At 35.8% G+C, this 13,850-nt stretch overlaps 2 annotated features.

The window, feature by feature from the left end:
* Nucleotides 7,224-7,433: an enhancer, noted in NCBI's record as "active region_21403". NCBI's record gives its function as "activates an Ori minimal core promoter by ATAC-STARR-seq in GM12878 lymphoblastoid cells {active_cell/tissue: GM12878}" and the evidence as "EXISTENCE:reporter gene assay evidence [ECO:0000049][PMID:35858748]".
* Nucleotides 7,874-8,013: an enhancer, noted in NCBI's record as "active region_21402". NCBI's record gives its function as "activates an Ori minimal core promoter by ATAC-STARR-seq in GM12878 lymphoblastoid cells {active_cell/tissue: GM12878}" and the evidence as "EXISTENCE:reporter gene assay evidence [ECO:0000049][PMID:35858748]".

Genomic DNA, 13,850 nt, shown 5'->3' with positions numbered 1-13,850 from the left:
TCAATAGAACAAAATGTTTTTTACTGTATTCTAAGATTAAATAATAAATTCACTATATACAATGTTCTGAATTACTCTAAAAGAAGCAAGGAATTAATACTGGGGTGTAACACCCCAGTAAATATTAAATTCCTTCACGCGATATCTATAGTTTAAGGCTTTACTTGATAAGCATTTCTTTCTTTTAGAGGTTTTAGAAAACTGAATTTTTAAAAGAATGCTATTTCCTGAAATGATTTCACCTGATTTCCTAGGGAAACACACTAACTCACATATATCCTGTCAATTTGAAAATCAGCTTGCCACTTGATCACAATAACCTCGATATCTAATTTCTCAAATAATTGACCAAGTTAAACCTCTGACATGCCGTTGATTGTCACTTAACCAACGAGGTGTAGCAGATCAAAGTTATATCATTAGACATGGCATATTAATTAAATTTTGTTCTGTAGTTTAATTGAAAAAATTCTGTAGTTTAACTGAGAAAAAAATGTTTCCTTAGCTGCTAGTGTTTTGAAGAGGAAAAATGATAAAGAACAGATATTGAGGAGGCCTTTCCATTTAAAACCTTTTGTTACTGTAAAGTATATATCATTTTGGTTCAATTTGAAAACTAAAATCTGTAAACCAAAATTTCTCTGAGATTAGCTAAATGTAACCCAATCAAAGACACATTACTGGAATTATTTCTAGAGTCAATTGTTTAAGACTCTAATCTGGGCATATGAAGAGATATTCAACTTTGTATTCTTTGTCATGTGTCATCTTCTGTTACTCCTGTTAATTTAAGTTAGGCACGCAACTTTATGATGAATATGATCAATCAATGTGATTGAACTACATACACATTTGGGTCCTGCAGACCACTTCAGTGACATGATTTATACAAGTAATATATGTAAACAATATGATCGTGTTTAAATTAAAGGTTATCCACAGACACAGTTTGGGAAGGTATTGTTGTGTATGTTTTTCTTTTTGTTTGTTTTTTAGCCTAAATTGTTCCTTGATAACAATGTATGCACTTTAAACAGTGGCACCAGGAACTCAGAATATAATATTTATTTATTGACTGACAGAATGACTGACAGAAGGATTTCTCCTTCACTCTACCCACCATAACTAACACTTGGCCTGTACACAAATACATTTTATTTTGTATCTTGGTTTTTTTCTCCAATTAATTACCTGTCATAGGAATTATCCACTAATAACATATAGAACTATACCTAATTATTTTTAAATTCTAACAGTTTTTCCTATTTGAATATAACATTTTAATTCAAACCATCATTTATCAATGACTACTTCCAAATTTTTTGGTTATTGCAAATACTGTGGTAACAAAACCTTGGTTCATATATCATTATTGAAGAATGCCAGCACTTTTGCTCAGAACTATTTTGCACAATTTTTTTTGACCAGACTTTTACTCCCTTAGCATGTTTGCAATTCAAATGAGCTGATTTTGGTGTAGCTTGCTTCTTTCCACCTCAGAGTCTATGAAGGAGAAATCTGAAGTAGAAACATAGGCAGGAGGCCGGGCGCGGTGGCTCACGCCTGTAATCCCAGCACTTTGGGAGGCCGAGGCGGGCGGATCACGAGGTCAGGAGATCGAGACCATCCCGGCTAAAACGGTGAAACCCCGTCTCTACTAAAAATACAAAAAATTAGCCGGGCGTAGTGGCGGGCGCCTGTAGTCCCAGCTACTTGGGAGGCTGAGGCAGGAGAATGGCGTGAACCCGGGAGGAGGAGCTTGCAGTGAGCCGAGATCCCGCCACTGCACTCCAGCCTGGGCGACAGAGCGAGACTCCGTCTCAAAAAAAAAAAAAAAAAAAAAAAAAAGAAACATAGGCAGGAAAAATATGACTATAAGCACATACTTTAAAGAATGGTGTGTATTGCTGAAGGCTTATTACAAAGAAGGCCACTTTATTATTTTACTTATATCTCCTCCATGTTAGTACATTTGTCTATGATATAAAGCACAATGAGGTGTACATGAAAATGCTCAAGTAACATTTTTTAAAGAATAAAGACCATAGAATACATAAATGCATGAACTACCTGAGTTATGGCAAGCACATTAATATCCTGAGAAACAATTGTTGCTCTCCAGTGGCTCTAGCATGGCATGATTAAAAACCACATGAATATGTACTTCAAATCAAAACTTAAAATCCTCTGGGTTTCTGTTTTTATACAAAAATAAAATGAGATTATGATCCTAGTGCCAACAACTGAATCTGACAGATTAGACACTTGATAAATATTTGTTTTTTAATGAATTTATATAACTAAATAAGATGATTTATTGAGTCAGGAATCCCCAAATCAGATACTTATAAACTATTAGCTGTTACTACATGTGACGGTTAATGTAATGTGTCAATGTGACTGGGCAAAGAAATACTCCTATAGCTGGCAAAACATTATGTCTAAATATATGTGTGAGGCTGTTTCTGGAAGAGGTTAGCTTTTGAATCTGTAGACTGTAAAGCAGATCGCTCTCACCAATGTAGACAGGCATCATTCAACCTGTTAATGGGCTGAATAGAACAAAACATAGAGGAAGGGTAAATTTTCTCTCTGCTTGATCTGGCACCATCTTCTCCTGCCCTTGGACATTGGTGGTCCTGGCTCTTGTACTTTTGGACTTGGGCTGGGACTTACACTGTTGGCTTCCTTGATTGTTCAGGCTTTGGGCTTGGACTGGAATTATACCACCAGCATTCTTGAGCCTCCACCTTGCAGATGGCAGGTTGTGGGACTTCCCAGCCTCCGTAATATTGTGGGCCAATCCCTTATAAGAAATCTCTTTCTATATATCTATCTATATCCCATTGGTTCTACCTCCCTGGAGAACATTGACTAATTATCATAAATTAGCTATTTTCAGTAGTGTAATAATAGTAGTAGAAGCAGTAATTTGTGCCCATCAACTATTTATCTATAATAATAATAATAGAGATGTGATTTAGGATTCACAATTATTAAGCTTTTTATTCGAAAAAATATTAGTTGATATGTAGCATTTTAAAAAATCTTCTATATACTTTGCACTATGCCATAAACAATAGATAAGTGTACAAAGTAAAACACGGTTTTTGCCTCAAACTTTTATTCTTACTGTTTTATTGCTATAGTACTTTCACTCCCTCAGTTATATGACTTCTTGAGAACCCTGTAGCCCACTTGTCTACATTTGCTTCCATATGCCACTTAGATTCCATGATTCATTATTATTTATTCTTTTCCTAATAGTATTCCCTCACTATCCTCTTTCTTCCTATATCACATACACTTGGAAGAACTTAACTCATTTAAAATAAGAGTCTTCTTCTCCATTCCTGAAAGGAAGCGCTAGAAAACTGTTGGAGAAAGTCACACAACTGAGGCTGATGGACTGTACTGAAAATTAGTGAAAATCAACTGCAAATGGAATCTTCTGCCTAGAAAATACACTGTCTTTTATCTGCTAACTTTCCCACTAACCCCAATCTTAAATCTTCACTCTCTTTCTCCTTACATGTGGTTCTGTGTCACACGTACTGACAAATTAGAAGACAAATTCCAGAATTGGAAATTCTCCATCTTTCCATCACCAAATCTATGGTCCAGATTTCATCTGTATCCAACTTTTTCCTCCTTCTTCATCCCACAATATTCTTCTTCCTGTGAAAGACCAATGCCTTTATTTGAGCTTTAAAGTCTTGTTAGTACTTAAAGTGGGTTCAAGAACCAACAATAATGACATGACCTAAGAGATAATTCCATTTGGATTGGAAAGCTGGTTCATACCATTCTTACATGAACATAATTAGTATACTGTGAGCTGCTACTGACTGCCTTGGGGATTTTGCAGAATAAAGACTCAGGACCAAAGTCCTTGAAGTTGCCAGACTTTTAGAATAAATAACAATTGAAAAGAAATTGAACAGAAGAAAGCACTCAACTAGTGGCTTATGGCCTGGTTTCTTTATATTTTAAATTAAATAATTGTATTTGATAATTTCTGATATCACAACTTTTATATTTTTCTGATCTGGAGCCCTAACACCACCTAAGACAGTGTCTTTGGCATAGTGAGCTTTATGCAGTTGCAATTGAAACTATAAGAAAAAACTTCAATGGAAAATAATCTTTGAGTTGTACCTTTAGATACAGAGAAAAGAGTGTTATTAGGGCGAACTATTCTCTTTCTCCACTGATGTCTTTCACCTGATGAAGAGAGAATAAAACATTTTTCAACATTTGACCCACCTATATTTTTATAGTTCATAAAGGAAAAAGTAATGATTTTTTTCTAATTGTTGGAAAACTGACACATTCTTGGCTGTCTTTCTCTACTCAGCTTTGTTTATAAGGGAAAGGTCAGTATTCACGCATTGACAAGCTGTATTGACTTTAACCCTCTACCGCTTTACCCCTGTTTTCTGCTAGACCTGCCTGAGCCCAAGCACTATGAATGCTTGCAAATTCTGTAAAAAGCCCATGAGACAGGTATTATTTCAGCAGGAGAAACTTTCCTGCTTTACCTGGGTACGTAAAATAAGATTGTCTCTTGGATTCCTGGCTGTATTCAGTATAGTGCAAGAGATAAGGGGCTAAGCAGTGTTCTTCCATCCAAACATTTTCAGGGAAGTCTAAATATTGGCTACTAATCGGATGCTATTAATCAGGCTGATATTTTGATTATGTGGCTCTGTATTTGAATTTTACAACTGTTAGATCCTTGAAGAGAAGACATCCAAAGCTTTTAACTTTTTTTTTTTAACGTCTGAGGCCTCAATTTGGAATCATAGCTATGAGAAATATTCACTATATTTCCACAAATGGGGCCACTGGGAAAAGTCAAGTTGCTGTAGTGAATTTTCTTTCTAACTTAAAAATATAGAGATTTCTTCTCTTTTGATTAGAGAAAAGGACTATCAGGAGGACATTGCTTGAAAGACTATTTTCCCTCACTTTCTTCTACTGTATTGTCTCTTCTCTGAAGTCGTATAACAAGGAAAGCTCTATGATCACTTATGGCATCAGAATGGAAAGATAACATTATGTAACCAATATCTATTTTCAAGCCACATCTCTGTACTCTGATTTCATTTGCTTCACTGATAAGTTTTAACATTAAATATGCTTCTAAAATGCAGTAGAAGTAAATTAAATGCCAGGAATAAAAATGTGTTAAAGAAACAAAGATAAAATCCTAGACTAGGGAGTTTTTATTGTACAGCATGAGTTCTGATGACCTGGAAAGAATATTTAATACGAAGAATATTATTAAGGAAATATCTATAGGCAAATGCAAAATGTTCAGTTAAGACAGGATTATCAATGAAAAACCATATCCCTTATGTTTATATACAACAAAGAGCTCCCTCTTTAATGACAGAAAAATTACAAGGATCCTTTGTAATGGGTACAATAAGAAAAATGAATGTCATTAAGTATGCATGTAATTTTGAAGTGACAAAGTTATAGGGACCTAGCCAAGTCTAAATAATAGCAAGCCTCCCAGTATGTCCACATCCAGTTATGTTATCAGTAAGACTGACTCGTTCGACATGAACCTCGTGCAGCAGAGAGAAAATATGCTTAAATGAGAAAGTGAAGGTCAATAAAGTAAATCGAAATAATGTTTATTCAATATCATTGTGTTGAGGATAATCCCAGAAACGTACACTTTAACGTATGTGTATATGAAGAGCTTCCACAGAATAAATAATGTAAATACCCAGAAACAGCTTCAATGATTAGCTGTGACCCAATGCCTTTAATAAACAAACCATCTAATTTCAAATATTTAACAACTGGTGAAGGCCTTGTAGTCCAACAGACATTTGAGCTGTGCAGGATGACAGTATTTAAAGCGAGCAAGGGAATTGCTATAATAAAGCTTCATCATTTGGCATACAGTAAAAGTAAACATGAAGAGACTTCATTAGAAATTCTACACTCCCAATCTGTGCACAGCAGAGAGCAAAAACCCAATCTAGGAATCGACAACTTGTTCCTACTGTGGATTAAAAAGGGAAACCTAAACAAACATTAATGAAAGCACTAACAATAGCAGAAAAAAATAATGTGGCGAGTTGCATAGAAATAAACATTGGGAAAAGACCCCACACAATGTCGCAGAAGTTTCGTAAGCTAACACTACAAGCAAAAATTATGTGAACATCAGCAAAATCATATGGTTTGTATGCTGGTTGCACATAAGGTTGCAAATGAAATAGATCCTATACATCTATGCTATCTTGTATGTATATCCGTGATCATTTTCAGGAAGATCCTACCAACTTTGGGATATTGAAGAGTTTGACAAGAAACATAGGCTGAGGCAAATAGGAACTGAAATTTTTAAGGAGACATCACAATGAAAGGAAGACTAAAGCTGACAGACACCAAAACAATCACCCACAGGTTTGTGCTCCCAGCTTGCAGACATTATTTCTTGGCTTGGCTGTGTGGCATGACAGCAGAAACAAGCTTTCCCACATTGGACTGTCTGGATATTACGGCGTAGTTTTTCTCAACGATAGTAGTCTTAAGCATGGGCTTTGAGTTTTTGGAAGGATAACTGCTAGTGTGTGAGGAAAATGAAGTTTCAACAAGAAATAAATCAGTTCATCAAGGTATTATTCAACCGAAGACATTTACTCTCCAAGTGGAATGTGCATTAGTTATTTTGTGCACAGCATTTATTCTTATGTCTCCCCATCCACCTCATTTTTTTGACCTTCTTTCAATTCTCAACCTTTTAGGAGGAAGTTACTTATCTGCCAGTGTATGTGATATTGATCAGGCTGTGAATCAGACATCTCCCATGAACCCTCCTTAATCAAGGTTTGAAAACCCACTATAATCTTGTATGCAGAATTTTAGTCCCGACCATAGCTCTCCTGATTTAAAATCTACATTTTAACAAGATTCCTAGGTGATTCACAGGCACATTACCATTGACACTGGTCTAGAGTACACCAATATGTTATATTTCTTAAATTATATAACAAATGCGGTGAAGTTCAGGCTGATATTCTCATAATCTTTAAAGAGGTGTGGATTTTCTTTGACTTTAGTCTCTGTCATCAATCTGTCTATCTGGCCCCCTATCCACGTGTGTGTGTGTGTGTGTGTGTGTGTGTGTGTGTGTGTGTGTGTGTGTTATATATATATATATAGTGACCATCCTTCAAAAGCAGTATGGAACCCTACTGAAAACTGGCTTAGATTTTGAGACTGACAACGCCCCCCACCACACACACCTGGAGGGTATGAAAAGTTTTATGAGTCACATAATGAAACTTTCTAGGGAAAGCGGGGGAGTTCCCAGATAGATCTGAAAATAGCTTGAGAGAGCAGGTTTGGGGTTTTCACTGTGGTCGGGGGATGGGCTGGAGTGAGGGACCCCATGCAACAGAAGGAGCTTTTGTGCTTTGAGCCTCCCACTGGCGCCAAAGGAGGGCATACCAGGGCTTTCTCTTATCAGCTTTCCTAAATGTGGGGCAGAAGGGGAAAAGGGAAGGGTGAGGCTTAAAAGCTATCGACAAACAAATGTCAAAAGATGGAGTTACTCTTTATTACAATTTACTTTTCATGTTTGGCGACCTAAGTGTGCCATTTTTTTTTTTCATTTAATTGAATTTGAAGTTAAGTAAGCGATTGTGGTGCTTTATAAGGGAAGCAGCCTGAGGTGAGTAAGAGAAGTGCAAGTTCTGCTGAATACCTTGAGAGAGGGCCCAGTATTGTGTATTCTGAGAAGTGAAATAAATGGTTGCTTTGGTTACTATCAGTGATATCTAGTACTATGAATCAGATAAGGAACGTCTTGATGAAGGCTTATACTGAAGCTTTAGCAGGCCAAGACACATGAACTGAGGCCACTTTAAGGAGGGCCCTATTCTCATATTCTTGTCCCTAAATGCCAACTATTAAAACACAGGTCAGTGATATCTATAAGCAATGCTTAGTAGAATTTAGCAAATGCAGCTCTAAGCTGCACTGTTCAAAGTACAAGCTAACCTGCACACAGCAGGGTCAGTTAGCAAACAAAAGCAAGAAAAGAAAGATTTCTTCTTGGGTGGCGATTATCTTTCAGAGATCCTGCTCACAGTACCAACTGTTGGGGTTACCCTGCAGAGCAGGGTGGACTCCCACCCCAAATTTGACTTAAATGTCAGGACTGATGCTGACACACTCAAACTCCAATAAGGTATGAAAAGATTGATTACTCCTGTAATGAGACTTTCTGGGAAGAGCAGGGAAGCTAGCAAGTAGGTATGAAAATGGCTTGACAGAGCACACACAAAAAAGACATTGCTTGGCATTTTTTATTAGGGTTAAGTGGGGCAGAGGTGAAAGTTCTCACATGTGGGAAGGGGCCTGTGTGATTTGGACCTAACAAACGAGGGATCACCTGGCTTTTCTTATTAGTTTGCCTGGATGTGAGACAGAAGGGAAGAGAGGTGGGACTTAAAAGTTGTCACTAGTAGAAAGTAAAAAAATAGAGCCATGCTCTCTATTACTCTCTCTATTATCTATCTGTTTATCTATCTATCTATCTATCTATCTATCTATCTATCTATCATCTATGTCTCTATCTTTATCATCATCATCATCATCTAATTTATTTATTTTACTAGCTCAGTTTCCATTTTAAAATTGTGTAGGTGGAAACCATAATAAATAACCTTGAAAGATATTTTTATTCGTGAAAGAATCATTTAATTGAATCCTTCTCATCATGTATTTATAAGTAGTCACCCATTTTACTGAAAAAATAGAGTAACACATTTATTGTTGGTGGCCTACTGAAGAATTCCATTTCTAGTAAGACTTGAAATATGAGCTTTCCCTCAGAGGAATCTATGGGACATTTGGAGCCAAAAAGTTTCCTGGGAGCAAATTCAATTTAAACTGATGACCTATTTCTCTTTGAGCTTTAGTGTGATCAGAACCATCCTGATAGTTTGAAATAGTTCTGAATAAAGGCTGTGGCCATGGAAGAATGCGTGCTTCTGAATAATTTCTGAACATATAACTGTAAGCTAAAGAGTACATAGGAAGTTCTTTTGACTGAGTGAGATAATTCTCACAAATTATAATAATAGGTGATTGTACTATCACCAGTGATTAAATAGTTGTAACCGATGGAAGGATTGAAAGTGACAACAGCTGAGAATACCAGGATGAAACCTCTTTGCCTCTCTTCACTATATTCAAAGAGTGTATTACTATTCCAGAAGTAGGCTCATCATTCCAAGAAATAGAAATTATCTGCTTGCAACTTGGAAACCAAGTGAGTGGCAGAAAAAGTGCAGTAGAATGAAAGCCACCTAGTGAAGTTAGCGGATCCTTCATTTTTTTAAATTTTATTTATTTATTTATTTTTGGGGAGAACTTGAAGGCAAAAATGGACATCTTGGATTGAATAATCCAAGTCGTTTTTGGATAACTTATTTGCAGGAGGAGGCAAAATGAGTAGGAGATTCAGAAAGAGATGTATTGGACTTCTGCTACTCCAGACATGTAAAACACGTATGTGAGATATGTAACTGTGTTTCTATATTCCAAATTTGAGTTGCAAGTTGTAAAGTGTGTAAGTGCATGCTTTATCCTCCCTTCTGGAGTGTAAATGCTTCAAAGAAGACCAGCATTTTACCAAAGTCCCATATTTGGCACTTAAAAACACTTGTCAAGAAAGTGACATTGTAAATGATAAATAAAGTAGGAAGTGAGTTCCAAGCTTTTAATCATTATCATTCGGATCTTGCAAATCTTACAAAATGTTTACGTGCTATGAAACTTTAAAGTGATCCTAGGTGATCATTTTCCTCACTAAAATAAAAACTAAGGAGAAAATGTTTAGAAAATAAAAGTTATCTATCACCTAAAACATAATAAATAATAAAATACTATGCAATTTTTGCTGCTCTGTGGATTTATAAAATTTTTCATAAGCACTATACTCATAATGGCGGAGAAGAATCACTCAGGAATTCTTTTGCTCAGTGCAAATTTTGTTCTCTCTTTTCTTTGCCATTTTCGTCTCTTTTCCTCAATCTTTAATATAAAACTTAGAATAACTATAGGGGTATCTCTCTCAGGGAGTCCAGCAGTAAAGTGAAAAACACTTTGTAAACAGATTCTCTGAAAAATTAAAGTCTGTTTTGGCTAAAAGCTTTTATACTATATGCTTTTTTACCTTCTCAGTTTTTGTTGTGAGATGAAACAACTGCTTGTATTATAAAACGTAAATGATTTCAAGTAATAGTTTCTCCTATTATAATTTTGGGTTAACCTAAACTGCAGAAGACATTTTGAATATATTGTATGCACCCTAGTATCTTTGCAATGACTTTCAGCTTCCCTGAGAAAGTCCTGGTTCTCAGATATGATATTCCTCACTTTCAAATTTAACCTTATCTATACCAGTATGACTTTATTTTTCCCTTGACAAAAGAGATAAAAAAAATCCCATTTATTTTTCAAGGATAATGTCTTTGCCTCTGCATAGGTTCTATCTTCTTTATTCTCCTCAGCAACAATGCTCCAACAAAATTAATATCATTCTTCCTGGTGTTTATAATTTCTCACACTTGTGGATAATTCTCCTTAGGAAACAGACATATTCAGTCACTTCTATCTTAAGAATAACGGTAAAAATGATGTTCTAATCCACCAATGCCTCTAGATATTGCCTGTGGTAGCCAATAGGGCAGTTCACCAATGGTAAGATTCTCCTCATTTCAGGCATGCAGTAGTACTGCCAATAAAATATAATGTATCTTTTTATCATTGCACTATAATTATGTAATATGTTACTATTAGGAGAAGTTAGGTAAGGGATATGGAAACTCAGTACTATTTTTGCAACAATTTTATAAATCTAAAATTAATTCAAACAAAAAGTCTTTTTTAAAAAGAAGAAAAATGAGAAATATGATGTATTTCACTTTTGTACAGAAGCCTGTATGCGCCAGCACAAGACTTTCCAATTTTTGATACTGCTGCAATGCAATAGGTAGTCTAAAAAGTAGATGTTTGCTAGCCTGGACCCATTAGCCTTGAAGATATTAAATAGACGTCCCTGCTGACTTGAGATGAAAATAAAGTGATGTGAATGGAAAATAAATCTTTATTTTTAAGCTCTGAAGTTTTGGGTTTGCTTTTACAGACTCTAACTTCTTTCATCCTGTTTAATATAAAAGTGAAGTTTTAGCATTTGGGTGCTAAATAATAAAACTCTAACATACCATATACTCTCTCATTATCCATATGGTCAGCAAAGAGAAAGCTGTTAATTTAAGACTGAAAAGATACGCTCCACATTACATAGTGGCAAAACTTTTGATAAAACATTGCTAGTTGTAACTCGGAAGGCAGACCATATATCTAATGGACGTGTAGTGCTAAAGTAAATGGTTGAAAGCAGAAGGAAATAGACTGTGTTGGTTACTTTTCACTACATTTAGCAAAGTATTACAAAAAGAGTAGGACCTCAAAATACATTGGCCAGTTTTAAAGCACAAATAAAAAGAAATAAACCATATCCAGAAATGTGGAGCTTTGCAATGTTAAAAAGACAACTGTTTTGAGATACTAAACAGTAGGGGAAAATATTGAGAGACTTCAAAAAAAAATGAAATGTAGATAAAAACTAAGAGTTACAGGTTAAAAAAATACTAACCATTTTCAATCCATTGTATTGCCTCAGGACAAAAATAAAATTTTTAGAAATGACATTGACAGTCATACTTCAAATTACTGACTGGATGAAGTACATCATGAAAAAAACAAAGCCTAAGGAAGATTATGACATCCAGTGAATATTTCAAATGGGAATCACGCCTCAGGGCACAGAGAATAAGAATGTGCACGTACAAAGTCTGATAAGCTCAAGGTATTTGTGAATATTAACACATAAATTCGACCGAATCAAATTGATAAGAAGCCAACTAAGTTTGTAAAGAGGACACACTGTCAAAAGAACAATCAGCCTGGACTATAAATGACTATTGCTGTTTGAGATGCACAATCACTCTTGGCCCCAACTATCTATGAATAGAAAGTAATCTGAGAACAATTTTCAGCATCTAAGGAGAGAATATTTTCTGATGCCCATTTCAGTTGTGGCTATGGAAGATAGTGCCAAAGAAGAATTGATTTCTGAGGCATGTTGCATTCTTCCGTTTTCCAAATGAGTTTGTAGTTTATTGTTTATTGTGGTTATTCAAGTCCTCTTCCTCCATTGTTTATTGCGTTATGTTTCTGGGGCAGATAACATGTCTTTGTAAATTCATAGATCTCCAAAACAAGAGTAGACACAGCCATGGCTGATCTAAATGCTCTCATTTACCATTTTAAGAAAAAAGATCTTTCATCCAGAAAACTAGTATTTATTTTGATGCCATGATTAAATTGGACTTGTGAAGGGATTAGGCCTCATAAATTAAGGAAAGAGAGTAAATAAAATATTTTTTCCTACCAGAATAAACCACAATAGTTTCTGTAGTTTTCATAAATGTTCCAATTTTTAATTTCCTTCTCGGAAGTGTGTAAACTGCACTTCCATCTCCTCAAATGCAGGCATGAACATATGACCAACTTTGGTCATGATACAAGAGTAGAAGTGATGTTTGTCACTTCTGGGCAGAAGCCTTTAATATTTAGTACACAGTTTTTATGTTCTTTTTTCTTCCATATAGATTTCCAAATTTTGAAGGTTCTGTTGGTGTGGAGGAAGACAATTCTGAGGGAGGACTATGTGGATCAGAATCCTATGCTGAACTGAGATGGACATGAAACCTAAACAAGAAATAAACTTTAGTTGGTTTTTTTTTTTTTTTTTTTTTTTTGAGGCGGAGTCTTGCTCTTTCACCCAGGCTGGAGTGCAGTGGCGCGATCTCGGCTCACTGCAGGCTCCACCCCCCGGGGTTCACGCCATTCTCCTGCCTCAGCCTCCCACGTAGCTGGGACTACAGGCGGCCGCCACCTCGCCTGGCTAATTTTTTGTATTTTTAGTAGAGACGGGGTTTCACCGTGTTAGCCAGGATGGTCTCGATCTCCTGACCTCGTGATCCTCCTGCCTCAGCTTCCCAAAGTGCTGGGAATACAGGCGTGAGCCACTGCGCCCGGCCACTTTGGTTGTTTTAAGCAGAGTGATATCAGGGTTCTTTGTTATTGCAGCGTAACTCAGCACATTTTGACCGCTATTTTATTATCCTATGCATTTCTTTCCCTGACATGTTTTGAAAAAATGCAATTTATATGTGTTACTTCTAAATATTCACTATTTTTCATAATTCCATTGCAGTCTGGCTTTTAATACTTCCTCAGCAATAAAATTGGTTCATGAACCTCGTCAAAAACTGATTATGGTTAAATTCAATGGAGACATTTTAGCCCATATCTTATTCATTGAGATGCAGCATGATTTTATTGAATGTTTTGACCTGAACTCTTTCTTTCCTTGGATTCTGTGATACCATTATGTTTCAGTCCACATTTTTCTTTAGATCTCTTATACATTTTTTTTCCAATTCACATCTCTTAAATTGTAGCATTCACCAAGGTTCTAAAACGCTTTCATTTCTACCTGCTTCCTCTAATAAAAGCACTTAACTTCAATGATGTCAACAATGAGCAATGTATGGAGGACTCATAAATTATTATCTCTAGTCCACATCGTTTTTTTTGAGTTCCAGAAACTACGGCCACTGTCTACTGAACATTACCACTTGCATCTCAATCTCAGCATGTCCAAAGTAACTTATGTTTTTCTCCCAATATATTCCTTATTGTAATTTTTCTTTCTTTTGGACATTAGCATTACACCTCAACTG

The sequence above is a fragment of the Homo sapiens genome, chromosome 4 (genome assembly GCF_000001405.40).
Source record: "Homo sapiens chromosome 4, GRCh38.p14 Primary Assembly".
Classification (NCBI taxonomy): Eukaryota; Metazoa; Chordata; class Mammalia; order Primates; family Hominidae; genus Homo; species Homo sapiens.
The sequence above is the reverse complement of the archived record's forward strand: the minus strand, read 5'-3'. Positions and strand labels throughout refer to the sequence as shown.